General features: G+C 31.8%; 1 long non-coding RNA gene across 1 annotated transcript in view; it reads left to right on the top strand.

Moving 5' to 3' along the window:
• LOC124900950 (uncharacterized) overlaps nucleotides 1-10864 on the top strand; it is a 153441-nt gene extending 142577 nt beyond the window's left edge. The window contains exons 4-5 of the long non-coding RNA XR_007058710.1: nucleotides 9056-9123; nucleotides 10545-10864. This is a non-coding gene — a long non-coding RNA (uncharacterized LOC124900950). The remainder of the gene's footprint in view (nucleotides 1-9055; nucleotides 9124-10544) is intronic.
• Nucleotides 10865-14119: the final 3255 nt, after the last annotated feature.

Here is a 14119-nt window from a genome sequence, read left to right as displayed (position 1 = left end):
TTTCGTTTTTACTTAGATCTGCATTTCTAGCTCGAATGCCTCCCTAGAGGCCTCCTTATTAGGAGAGCTTCAGCCCAGGCCAATCCCAGGTATTTCCTTGTGGGGAGATATTTAACTACTAACAACATGAATTATTATTAAACAAAGAAAATTTAATTTATTTTTGATTCTGTCTTGGTAAAGCTATACTTATCTAGAATTTTAATTCGTTTTCCAACATATTAATTCCAACATTAATCATGTTCATTAATTTTATTTATAAGATATATATTTATGTATAAGATATACAATATTTCGTGTCCCTTCTTTCATGCCTCATGTCTTTATCTGTGCCTTCCCAATTAAGTTAAAAAGTAAATTTTTTGTGTGGTCACTGCATTGTTTTTTCAGCTGCCATCCTCTTAATTTAACCTCTTTTTGTTCCCTGACTTGCTATTCTCTGGATCTTTGGGTTCTTCTACTTCAACCAACGTTCCATATTGATTTCAGATTGTCTTAAAGTGCATCTTTCATCACTTAACTTTTCAGCTCAAATACTTTTACCATTCATTTTTTTTAAAGAAACATTTTACTCTACCAAAATCTAACTTCCGTATTATAGCCTCAAAAGTTTCATTCATTTAATAGTAATTAATATGTGCTTATTATATGTCAAGTATGAGGTTTTGCTGGTCAGCAAAAACATAATCTATTCTTTCATGTCCTTTCATTATAGTGAGAAAGTAAAATGTCAATTAAACAACTACAAACTCATGAAATTTCAGAAGTGCCATGATACAAAGGAGAAGAACCAATTCTATGACTGTGAAATAGAAGTATTTAGCTAGCAACATCAGCAGTTCTTCCCTAAAGAAGTCATGCTTCTATTAACAGCTGAAAAATAAATAACATTGGACTAGTAATTAACAATGACTGATAGCATTAAAGAGCATGGGCCGGGCACGGTGGCTCACGCCTGTAATTCTAGTACTTTGGGTGGCCGAGGTGGGCAGATTAACTGAGGTCAGGAGTTCAAGACCAGCCTGGCCAACATGGTGAAACCCCGTCTCTACTAAAAATACAAAAAATTAGCTGAGCGTAGTGGCACACACCTGTAATCCCAGCTACTAGGGAGGCTGAGGCAGGAGAATCGCTTGAGCCTGTGAGATGGAGGCTGCAGTGAGCTGAGATCATACCACTGCACTCCAGTGTGGCCGACAGAGAGAGACTCTGTCTCAAAAAAAAGCATGTATGAAGATCCTGTAGCGAAGTGGATGGGGAATAGTGTTGAAAAGAGAAGGAATGCTAGCATGGCTGGAATGGAGCAGGCAATGTGGTGATGAGTTTGGGGTACAGGCAGGAGTCAGACTCCGGAGGGCTTTTATGGCCATATTTAGAAGACTGCTCTTCAATGATTCACAGTTGTAAGTCAATGATTACATGTGTTTTGTAAAAAGTACTTTATTAGCAGAGAAGTAATGTTCAGAAGAGGCCAGAGAGCTAGAGTCAAGTACCTGGGGAAGAATTCAAGGCAAGAAATGATTGTAGCTTAGACTAAAGTTGTAATGGTACAAAGATTACTGGAACCAGACAAATTATATTTTAGAGATGTAAATAACAGTACCTGCTAGGACCTGGGTTTAGGTACAGTTGAGGTGGTGACTTTTTAGTTGTATCTCTCTAATATATTTCAAGTTTATTCAATATTCTCTATGCTATCTATATTATCTGAATAGATTTAACATAATCTATAAAATACACTTCAGTAAAATGTTTTATTATTTTCAGTCATATCACTGGTTAACTGACTCTAAAACTAATCATCTATAAAATGTATTGTCCCTTCTACCAATACTTCCCAGTTTAATATCATTCTATACTTTAAAAAATGACATAAGTTCCCGAATATTTTATGTAAGCTTTTTTTTCATACTTCACCATTTTCACAATGTAACTTCTCCAAATAGATACTAATTGCCATGTTTGGTTCATGCATGTTTTTCTTTGCCTTTGGATATTTCTGGAAAGTCTTCTTGCTTGTCAAACAAGCACATTCTGATTATAACATTCACCTAACAGTTTTTGTTGTTATTGTTGTTTTGGCTTTCAATACTTTTGCATTTTGAAAGAATATTGTACTGGAATGGGTTAACATCATCATCTTTAGCATCCTGGTAGCATTATTCAGTAGTTAATAAACAGACTTTAAACTTCCGCCTGGCTGGCTTTTGAAATAGGAACCTGAGAGACCCCAAACTCAGCCACTCTTGTAGCTTCCATCTCCAGTTCTTTTAATCCTGGCCAAGATGGCGGCCGTGGAGACTTTCTTCCGGTCATAGTCCAGACTGAGGGCAGCCATGCAATCAATGAAGAATGTGGTTAAGTTGATGTGACATTTAATTCAAGTAAGTGAATGTCTTTGCCAAAGAACACTAAGCACTCTTTCCTTTGCACTAATTCTGTATCTTGTAAATTCTTATATTATACCTGGAATGTTTAAACACTGTTTTTATTTTGTTACAAGTCTACTCTCAAGCAAACAAATAAAAATGCCCTTTTTGTACATTATTGGTGTATTTCTAGAAGATATATTTGTTACGTGTTAGATGCTCATTAAATGTTTATTTCTTATAAAACCTGAAGTACATGCTAAGTGTTTACAAAAAATATATAAAGATTTCACTCTTTTATAAGGCGATATTTTAAAATGCAAAGTCTGAATCAAGGTTGCAGTACTCAATTTAAAATTTTGTTGATGAATATCATTTTTCCTTTGAAGGTTTTATATATAAACAAGAATGCATATATTCATTTAATTTACCCTTTAGAGTCTAATTATAATCCAGTGAGATTAAGTTCTCCGTTGTGATGTATTAGACACTGTGGAAAATTTTCTAGAAATTTCAGGCATAAAATAATTAAAATTGCAAAAGTGTAATTGAAGCCATTGGATTTCTTTAGTATATTGACTTCACACATATAGAAAATTAAAGTTTAATTGCTATTCTTGATGGATAACTCTGCTTCTATTAGCTCTGAGGAAGGTAAAATAGGCTTTTAGTAAGCAATAGAAATCCATCCAAACACATGTAATAGCATTTTCTGGGCTTGCTCATTATATTAGCAGTCATTGGAAATACAGTACTGATTCCATATATATTTTATATGCTCCAAATGGATGTTTTAAATTTTATATTAATGATATCAACTAAATAATTTTGAATACCATGGATGGAATCAAAGTCATTCTTCAATGTGTTTCTTATATATTAAATAATACTTTAGAAAAACATAGAATTCTTCATGTTTTCAAATCTATCCTATTCAAAGAAAGTGTCTTTGATTGCTGGTATGGAGACGGTTATGTGGTGTAGTGGTGCAAAGGATAGAATTTGACTTAACTCTGGTTCCTACTCTCCTAAGTGTTGATATAAGGGAAAACATGCCAAAGAAATTTTTCCAACAATTTTTCAGCCCCTAGACACCCACTCTGGGTTTTTCCACAGACATAGAAAAATCAATGTTCTAAAATTGGCACTTCTGTTTATATTTTCCCATAACCTCTAGAATTGATTTAGAAGTCTCCGTACCATGTAGATCTATAGACTCCAACTCAAATCATTTTTATGGGGCAGGGAATAAGATGCAAAACGCCATGGTTTTGCTGGTTCTGTTGACTTTCATTTTACTTTTGACCTATCATATAATTGGAATGCATAACTTACGTTTTCAGTGACAACCACTTACACAGTGTTTATTTTATCTTGAAATTATAAATTGTATAGAGTAAAATAAACATTGAATCATTGGTTAGATTCATGCCTCCCTTTCCCGTTTGTGAATTGCTTCTGCAGCACCACTGAATGATTTCAACATTAAGCCACATTTCATATTCTATCCTAGGAACCCATTACCATGTTTCAAACTCTCTCAAAATATGGGAAACTGAAATAATAATTACTCTAAAGTTGTGAAATAGCCACTGTAAGCTCTAATTATGGCTGCAATTGAGAATGGACATTCATGTTTATTAATAATTATTTATGTTAAGGGCTTTGTTTTGTTTTGTTTGCTACAACTTTTCAAATTTAGCTTATGTTCATAACTACAACTATAAAGCTGCTTGGTTATATTAAATAAATTGACTTCCTAAAAATTAAACAGTAAATATATTTTTAAAACTCATATTTTTATGTGTTCTAATTTTTGCTTCTTGACTCCCTTTTCTATATGGACAATGCTTATGGAATTAGAATAATAACTAGTGAATAATCTTTGTTATGTTTTATCTCTTTTGTTAAAATATATATGTGACAATCCTTCCTTCCTTCCTTTCTTCCTTCCTTCCTTTCTTCCTTCCTTCCTTCTTTCTGTCTTTCACTCAGGCTGGAATACAGTAGTGTGATCATAATTTATTCAGCCTCGACCTTGTGGTCTCAAGCAATCATCCTGCCTCAGCCTTCGACTAACTGGGACTACAGATGTGTAGCACCACACCATGTGACAATATTAGTAAAGTTTTCCATAGTGAGAGAAAGACACTTTAAAATATGTCCAGTTCATAATTAAACTTGCTATTTAAAATAAGTTTTTGCTACTTTTTTGCAGTGCTTAGAAACAAAACTCTTTATCTTTCAATATATTATACCCTAAAATATGTTTCAGTTTATGACAGAGATTTTATTCTCATTAATAAAAAAATACTATCCTCAAAAAAAGATTGAACATAAAGAAAACATTTTTACAGGCAAACAAAAAGGACGCCGATATGTGGACCTAAAATTAGAGATAATTGTATTTAAAAATATTAACATTAGGCTACATAGAAAGCTTACTCATCATTCTCTTGACATCATAATAATGGTTTATTGTCTTTAAAGACTGTGATCATATCTACTTAGACATGGTCATGAGCACTTTTTACAATGCAAACAACTGGTAATTTGAAGTTCCTGGGTTGTGATGGAGGTGTGTAGTCTATTCTTTACTCATTTGGCACAATGAAGTAATCAGCCCAGAGCAATAAATTATGTAATTAATCTCATGAAGCCAACAGTTTTATGTAAATGCTAGTGATTTATTTCTTTGCACATTTGAAAAGTTTAATTTCCATTTTTGCTCTGAAAATAGTTTTGAAGTAAATTGATATATTAAAATATATATCTAGCTTAATAAATTATTATAAATATAGTAGATATGCTAATGTTATTGTGTATCTTCAATCCATATTTTAAAGAGATGTACTTTAGTTATTATCTTTAATATATGCTTCACTTTGTATTTGAGAGAAAAATTTTATATATCATTTAAAGGCTCATGGCTAAGTGTTACCAGCAATCACAGAATGAATATGGATGGACATTTTGGGCAAATATGTTCCAATAAAAAAAAGAAACAAAATGTTGATGTATTAGTTTCATGGCATATTTTCGTCTTTTTTTTTTTTTGCTTTAGTAAATTCTTACTTGTCAAGAAAGTAACACAGACATATAGAGGTATTTCGTTTTGTCCAGTGCCTCCTAGCAGGGAAGCATGGGAGGAAAAAAGATGTCTTTGCATCTTTATTTTTTTATTTCAATAGGTTTTGGGGGAACAGGTGGTGTTTGCTTACATGAATAAGTTTGTACTGAATACCAGACTAGAAAAATTACTGAAGAAATGGGGCTGATAATATAAATACAGATAAATGGCAAAGTACTTTTAATTCCATTATGAATTCTGGTTAAATATCTCCATTTCTCCCATTAATGACAACTAGACAAGCTGGTCATTTTTAAAAAATCAATTTGATGCAGTCAGAGAAGAAACATAAAGAAGAATTTTTTTGTCCCAGGTCTACAAGATGTCCAGATAGAGAAGTGGCCAGTATCAGGTGCTGCTTTGTCCATGGCAGCCATTGCTTTTATTAGAAAAGGGGCTAAAAGGCTCAGAAAATGTTTTGAGATCTTCCCGTGTATAGACAGAAAGAGGTTGGAGACCAGGTCCTGTCCAGGTTTGGGGCTCTAATGGCACCACGGTGCAGGTAACACCTTGGACAGCTTGAACACAATGGATTGATATTTTCATGCTCTGGAGAAATAAATGTTATCCTAGAGCTCTATCAGCAGTGAGAAATGCCACTATATTTCATGAATGAAGGTTAAACAAGGACATATTTCATATACACATTAAGATGAACTATGAAGATTCAAGAAGGCATGATTAATTAGGTAAGAGGACTAATACTGATAGTATTGATAAGTAAAAATGCTAAAAATAATATACACCTACATACTATGAAAATACACAATAACACTAGCATATAAATCAGGAGGAAGTGAATTGTTTCAAAATGTCTTTCACAGTTGCCAAGAAGATAAAGGTGCTAAACTATAATAGACTTAGAAGAGTCAAGTATACATGTTTTAATCTCTAAAACTGCTAATGGAGTAGTAAAAAATATGAAGCTCTTAAGATAATGGAGTGGCAGGTGAAATAATTAAAATATTCAGCCATTCTAAAATACAGTAAGAAAAGACATAAAAAAGGTGATCAAGCAGATAGAAAAACTAAAAGAACATAACACATTTTAAAGCCACATGTTAATACTTATGTTAAATGCAAATAGACCAAATTTCCTAGTTAAAAAACACATATTTAAACTGAATAAACACATACACACACACACACACACACACACACACAGAGGGCAGTGAGATTATATATTTAAAGTATTGAAACAGAATAAAAATGCCAGCCAAGCCTACCACATCTAACAAAACTCTCCTACAAAAATGAGGGGGAAATTAAGAAATTCTCAGATAAACAAAAGCTGAGGGTATTCATTACTAAAAGACTTGCCCTACTAAAAAATAAAAATAAAAAAATTAAGTGGACCCTTTCATTTGAAATGAAAATATGCTAGACAGCAATACAGAAGTATAAGAAAACTTATATAAAATTCTCCAATAAAGGTAAATACATGGACAAATATGAAACTTGTATTATTGTAATTTTTGTTTATAACTCAATTTTCAGTTATTTTAAAAAATTTAACTACAAAAGCATAAAAATAACTTTAAATCCATATTAATTGATACACAATATATAAAGGTGCAGTTTGGGACATTAATAACATCAAGCAGGAGAGGGCAGAGCTATAAAGTAGTCATTTGTCTAGCTGGGCATGGTACACGCCTCTAGTCCCAGCTACTCGGAAGGCTGCAGTGGGATGATCACTTGAGCCTAGGAGACAGCCATGATTGTACCACTGCACTGAAGCTCAGGTGACAAAGTGAGACCCTGTCTCAAAAAAATAAATACATAAATTTTTTTGTGAGTTAGAAATTAAGCTGCTAACAGTTTAAAATAGATTGTTATACTTTTAAAATGTTTAATGTAATCCCTGTGACAGTTTGACGGTTACAAATTGAATATTTTAGGTAAGTTTGACATTTGAACTTCAGCTAATAATATAATAATTAAGTTCATTATTGAGTAATTTTAATAATTTTTGGAGATATTTTCTGAGACTCTTAAAGTGACAAATCTTGCACTAATTTTTTTGTATTAATTATTATGTTGATTATATTGCTTTATATTCAAATAAGCCCACTTTTACTCTTATTAATCCAGTAGGTATAATAGAAAAATTATTCATTGAGTCATTCATTTGTCTTAACAATATTCCTTCATATATTTTGAGCATAAAATATATTTTTGACATATATCATTGGTATAAAAATAATTTAGTGATGTTTTAAGATGAACTTATATATTTATTTACAATATTTTATGGTTCTGTGTTTACATCTACACTCACTTCCAGACACAGGACTACCTACATTCTATCTAATTTTCTTGTTTTTACAAGGTATCATTTTACTCAGTGTTTTAGAAATTGAATAGAAACTACAGTACTTATATTTTGGTCTAATTTTGATAGGCTTGTATTTATTATAAAATATCTTGAAAACAAATATGTCTTGAGAATGTATTTTTATATATAATGTTGTAAGTTTTCAAAAATAATTATGAGTTTTTTCACAGAAGCTTCTATTATGAAATATGGAATATGATTCACTTGTTAACATTAAATATATGTGTACAAACAAGGCTAACGACTTTAGTATTAAGAATATATTATTTGTGAGATATTGATTTAATAGCTCATTAAATATACAAATTATTCTGACTACATATATCACTGAAACTTATCTCCTTCTCAGGCCAAATAAATAAAATATTGCCCAAAACAGCTAAATAGTAAACTTGAATCTTTTAAAAACTTGACACATTGTGTATGAGTCTAGCTTAGACTTAAGAAATACAGAATATTTATTAAGGTATTTATAAATTTCTTCTCTACGGCTAAAATTCACAGGCATTTTTAAATATTTTACCCAGTGGGCTATCCCAGTCTTGCTTGTTATTATCCTTTCTGCAATTCAAACCTTAAATTCTGCCATTAAATAAAACAGTTTCATATTTGATGAAAAGTACTTTACATCCCTCTACAAAAGCTATTCAGTTATTCCATAGTGGTGATAGATTATAGTTTAAGAGCTTATCAAAGTGAATGGGCCATTTTATAGAATCTATTGTAATTTTTAGACTTTTAAGTATTTAGTTAAATTGTAACAATGTATTATTTAGAGTTGAAAGTGAAGAATTATTGATAAATGGAGACAATCCAACCTCAGATCTACCCTTAGCTTGTATCTGTTACATCTATATACTTCTCATCAGAAGTCAATTTAATTGATAAACAAGAGTATTTAATATCACCTCAGAGTCACATTCCATGTTTATTGTAACAGTGTGACTTTCGTAACATAATAAAACTCTTGAAGGCTTAGTTTTCCCATCTGTAAAATGGGATAAGTTCTACCCAGTTTTGGTGAGGATGTAAAAACCAAGATAGCTGTGGGTCTCTAAAGTATTAGGTATTGAAAAAATGAGAGTATTTCTCTCTCTCATCATTGTGAAAGTCAGTCATTGTATGTGTTTGTTTTCTGATATCACTAACACATCCCATAAGTAGAAAGGCAGGATCTTTTTTTTCTTCTTCTGATATATTTTTTTGCTTCAACCCCAGACATGGTCCCTGTCACCATCCACCTCGACTTCATGTATCTTCTGCTTCTACCCGTGTAACAAGTACATGTATGTAAATAATACTATTAATAACATTTGAAACTGTCTACGTTGTATGTAAAATGATGCCACAGGTTTTTAAATACTACAAAATCTGCAGCTCCAATTAATACATTAAAAAATGAAGAAAATTGTTTTAAATAATCAAATATTAGTACCTAAATGTTTCAGAGTCAGATTATGGAACAGCCTCAAAGAAATTACATTTGCTGAAATTCATTAGTTGATTATTAATTACATGTCTCCTTTTTGGGGACTCAGTATCAATGGTGAAGTTTAAAAACATATCTGGGTATCCAATTGGTCATGTGTGCACTAGCTAAAATAAACAGTTTTAGAGTTCAGCGTACTTGGGTTGAAATTTCATCCCAGTCTTGTATGTCCTGTATGACATTGGGAAAGTACTAAATCTCAGTTTTCCTATCTATAAAATGGTCTAGCAAAAACATGTATCTCAATGGGTTATTGTGAGGAAAAGAGTCAACAGGATAGTGGTATATGCAAAGAAAATATACGGTTGTTTGTTTGTTTGTTTGTTTTGAGAGGGAGTCTCGCTCTGTCGCCCAGGCTGGCGTGCAGTGGCGCGATCTCGACTTACTGCAAGCTCCGCCTCCCAGGGTCACGCCATTCTCCTGCCTCAGCCTTCCGAGTAGCTGGGACTACAGGCGCCCGCCACCACATCCGGCTAATTTTTTGTATTTTTGGTAGAGACGGGGTTTCACCGTGTTAGCCAGGGTGGTCTCGATTTCCTGACCTCGTGATCCGCCCGCCTCGGCCTCCCAAAGTGCTGGGATTACAGGCGTGAGCCACCGCGCCTGGCCATAAGTTTTAACTATATGTAATTTACTAAAGCCTTTTACTGAATCATCTGAATTTAAAAAAATAGCTTTATCTACATTAAAGTCTTATGAAAAATGTTATAGTCAAATTCGGACATCATAGAATTTAGCTAGCATAGTAGATGAAGTAAATAATAAAATCTAATAACAATAAAATCTACCTATAATTAATCCCTTGCAATGCGATAGACCTCTTAGTAAATCGAAGCATTTTTTTTCCCCTTTGGATTCTTTGTCAGACCAGTGCTAAACACCAGTGTATATTTTGGTGTTAACTTTGGTTATTACAATTGTTGCCTCTGCTGCATTTCTTTATAGCAAGCTTGAATTAAAAGTGCTTGAACATTGAAAAATTTTAACTGATGAGAAGATTCATATTTTATTCATCATGTGTTATAGGGTTTATATGAGACTGAACAAAATGCAGCTAGTGTTAAAATATTTAGTCATAAGGTAACATAAAAACTTTAAGTCACAATATTATTCTATGAAATATGCATGACTGTTATATTTAAGAAATATATATGGATTTTTAAAGTATGTATTTTCAGTTTTCTCTGACAGTGTTTTCATTTTCATTTTTTTTTCCAGATTGACTAGTACTTAAAACAACCTCAAAATACGTATATTTTCTCAAAAATAACTGCAAGAGTAATGGGCATTGAGATAGAAGGTTCTTATTCCTCTTTATTTAAATCTGTAAAGCAAAGTGGCAAATTAAAACTGAGATACTATTATATTCAATTCATAACATAATTTGATACAAATGAAAACTTTTTTTACAAGGTAACAAAGTAACTGAAAATGAGTAGATCCAGCGCAAGTGAGACAATGTAACCATCTTGAGGCATTAACCTAGGAGGCCACTGTTGTGAAAACAGAAAATGTGAGGAACACGAGGATTGACTTAACTATGGGGCTGCAAACTTAATATTTTAAGTCATGTTACTCATACACTAAGTATTGAGGTATTTTTATGTTTTTTTCAAAACTAAATAAGTTCACTGAAACTTAATCAGCCTGAATAGCCAGAATGTTTTAAATAGAGCATTGTAAATTTTGAGACATCATATTTTCTACTTTTTTTTTTTTTTGCTAGGGTCCCAAGTTTTGCTATATTCAGGCTCATGGTACAGTAGTTTTGTTGTGAGTTTACATTCCTAATTATTGTGTGTTATCATGATGCGTATTATTCCACTCATGATTTTCCCTATCCTCCTCCTCTTCAGCTATTTTTCTCTCCTAATATCATTAAAAAGCAAAAATTAAACAATTGAACATATAATAATAATTAATGCATCCATTACTAATAACTCCATCATCATCCAAACCATCTCTTGTTTTTTATGTTGTGTAAATAAAGTCATATAGATGCCTAAGAATGTCAAATGACTATGAATTAATTTATTTGCCTTTGAACAACAAAGTCCTAATGAAATCATGTCATTGTGAGAGAACATAGAAATACTCTCAAAGAAAGTATCACTTATTTTAATGTTTAAATACAAAACAGCTGAAAATAACTGTCTCAGTGAGTGATATTGTACTGGGAAAAGGACAATCAGATTCAGAGAAGTACTTTTATGTGTACTTTTTAATTTTTTTTTTCTGTGTTGTCATATAAATATATACACATACAGATATCTATATAGCAATTCTGGTAAAATTAGTGGATTTAAAATATGTGAGCATTTGATTATGTTATTTTAAAGTTGTGTATTCATTGTTCAAAATATAACAGTGATTATAATTGTGGTTAAATTAATTGTTGGTTTTAGCGGGTGTTGTATAATTTAGCATGGTACATGTAAGAATATTGGCAGGCTTTATACTGATATGATGAGCTATTTCTGTGGTAGAAGGAAGACGCACAGCCACAAGAATTGTAGAATTCTTTCTGAATTTTTTTTTTGTAAACTAATATAATCTATATTGCCATTATTTCTGTCCCTGTCCCAAAAAAATAATTCCAATAAACAAAGACCTGCAGGCGTCTGATCTTATCCAAAAACTGAAACACAATAAATGAGGTGATTAAACTAAAAGGCAAAGAAATATAGAAAACTAAATGAAGTGTATACTGATCTGAGATAATGCTGGTAACAACGTCAACATTCATACCATAAAATAAATACATGATTACTAAATAAATTTTAAAATAATTTCACCATATTTGTGAAAAATGTTGATTTGCTGTTTGGATAGATGTTGATTATAAAATGTAGACTGTGTCCAAATTATCAAAGAATGATTTAAAATATACAGTGATTCTGACCAGTTTATTGACTAATATGACTAGTTGCATATTCAATATCTTTTTTGAAACATTGTGTACATAGTAAAGATTTAAGAGAATCAAGGTTACGACTATTGACTCTAAAGCTATAGGGGAACAGTTTGCCAGACCTAATTGTCTTCAGGAACTGGTCTGAGCAAAAATTGAGATTTGATTCCTCTCATTTCTTCTTCCTCATTTCTTTATTGCTTTAATCTTTGTGATTTCTAATCACTTTTCTAAAATTTAAACAGACAAAATACATTTATGTATAATTAGAAGATAATATTCTTGCTTTTCAAATGTATCTGAGTCATGTATTTTATTACATATATTCAGATTATTTCTCTTATGGAAATTATATAATGAAATGGATGGAAACTTAATGTAGTGCAGACGTCTAGAAAATGAAATGAGTTATTTCATTTAATTGAAACGTTCATATGAACTTTTTGGAAACTGACAATTAAATGCATACTCACTGTGATTTTCACCGTCTTTTGATACATTCTGCCAGTTCTAAACCTTACCTGCATGTACGAGATAGTAGATAAGGACGGTTTCCTGCAGTCTCTTGATCTCAATTATCTTTTTCATTCCCTTTTCTTGAAGATTTAATTAGATCTCATTGTCTCCATCATCACTGTTAATTTCATATTTCCAAAAGTCAACTTTTTAGCTCCTCCTTATGTCATAACTGCACTTGGATATTCAGCTTAACACGATAAATATCAAAATCATTTACATATTTTAAAAATCACATTGCCGTGACCCTATTATCTTAATGATCCAACTAAAGTTCATGGGGAGAAATTCTGACCAGATCCCTATTTTAGTACCAGTTTTTCTACAAATTTTACTCTTAAAATTTCCTTCAGACCATGTTTCCTAGGTCCTGTTTCTCCATTCTATGGTTTCTTTTTCAAATTATTTGTGTAAATGCATTCGTGTTTACATAAATTTGTTTATCTTTCAAGACACAATAGGAGTTCTCTCTTTCTGGAAGCTATGTCGGAATTCTAAATTAATTTATGTTACCACATTTGTACTTTGCTAGTTCCTTTTGCATGTCTTTATCACAGCAATCGCCATATTACATTGACATACGGTTTTCAAGTATGTCATCACCAATGTATGAGTTGTTTAGCAGCCAACAGACAATCTGGAGTTCAGTAAAATTGGATGAAGTAAACTGAATTAGACAACAAATGTACTACGGCTCTATGGAGCCTGTCATTATTCCACTCAAGAAGTAAATCACTTTAAACTGTTCACTTTGTACTTGTCCCAAGCCCTCCAAATGTAATTTATTTTTTGAGAAACAATATTGATATTTAACCATTATTTTAATTAATCACTACTTGTTTAGGGAAATTGTACTATCAGTTGCTCTTGCAATAAAATTATTATACAGCATTACATCCTTTAAGAAAGCTTAATTTTATTCATATGTATCTTTTTTGTCACTTCTAAGAACTCATGTAGTGCCATAACTAAGTAAAAGACTGCGTATCCCACGCTTTCTCATTCTCTTTTCCCATCATACAATATTTAGTCCATTATTTAAGATGTTATTCATGAGTCACCTTTGATGAGAGGAGGTCTCTGATATTGATATTCTAATATACTCTGAACATATAAAAACATAAATCTGTAAGTTAGAATTAAATGATTAAATAGACATGTTTCTGAGGACTCAACATGGGAAATAATATTCCCTCTAACAAATAATTTTTACTTATAAAAATGATTAAACATGTAAGTCTTTAAAATTTTGGCGAATCCTCAGTATTTGGAAAAAGTAAACCTAACCAAAATGAAAGGATTAACACATTCCCTAGGAGATGGGTCTCTGCTTTTGAAGAAAGAGTAGCTTGAATTAACTTTAAAT

Source organism: Homo sapiens, chromosome 5, assembly GCF_000001405.40.
Source record: "Homo sapiens chromosome 5, GRCh38.p14 Primary Assembly".
NCBI lineage: Eukaryota > Metazoa > Chordata > Mammalia > Primates > Hominidae > Homo > Homo sapiens.
The sequence above is the reverse complement of the archived record's forward strand: the minus strand, read 5'-3'. Positions and strand labels throughout refer to the sequence as shown.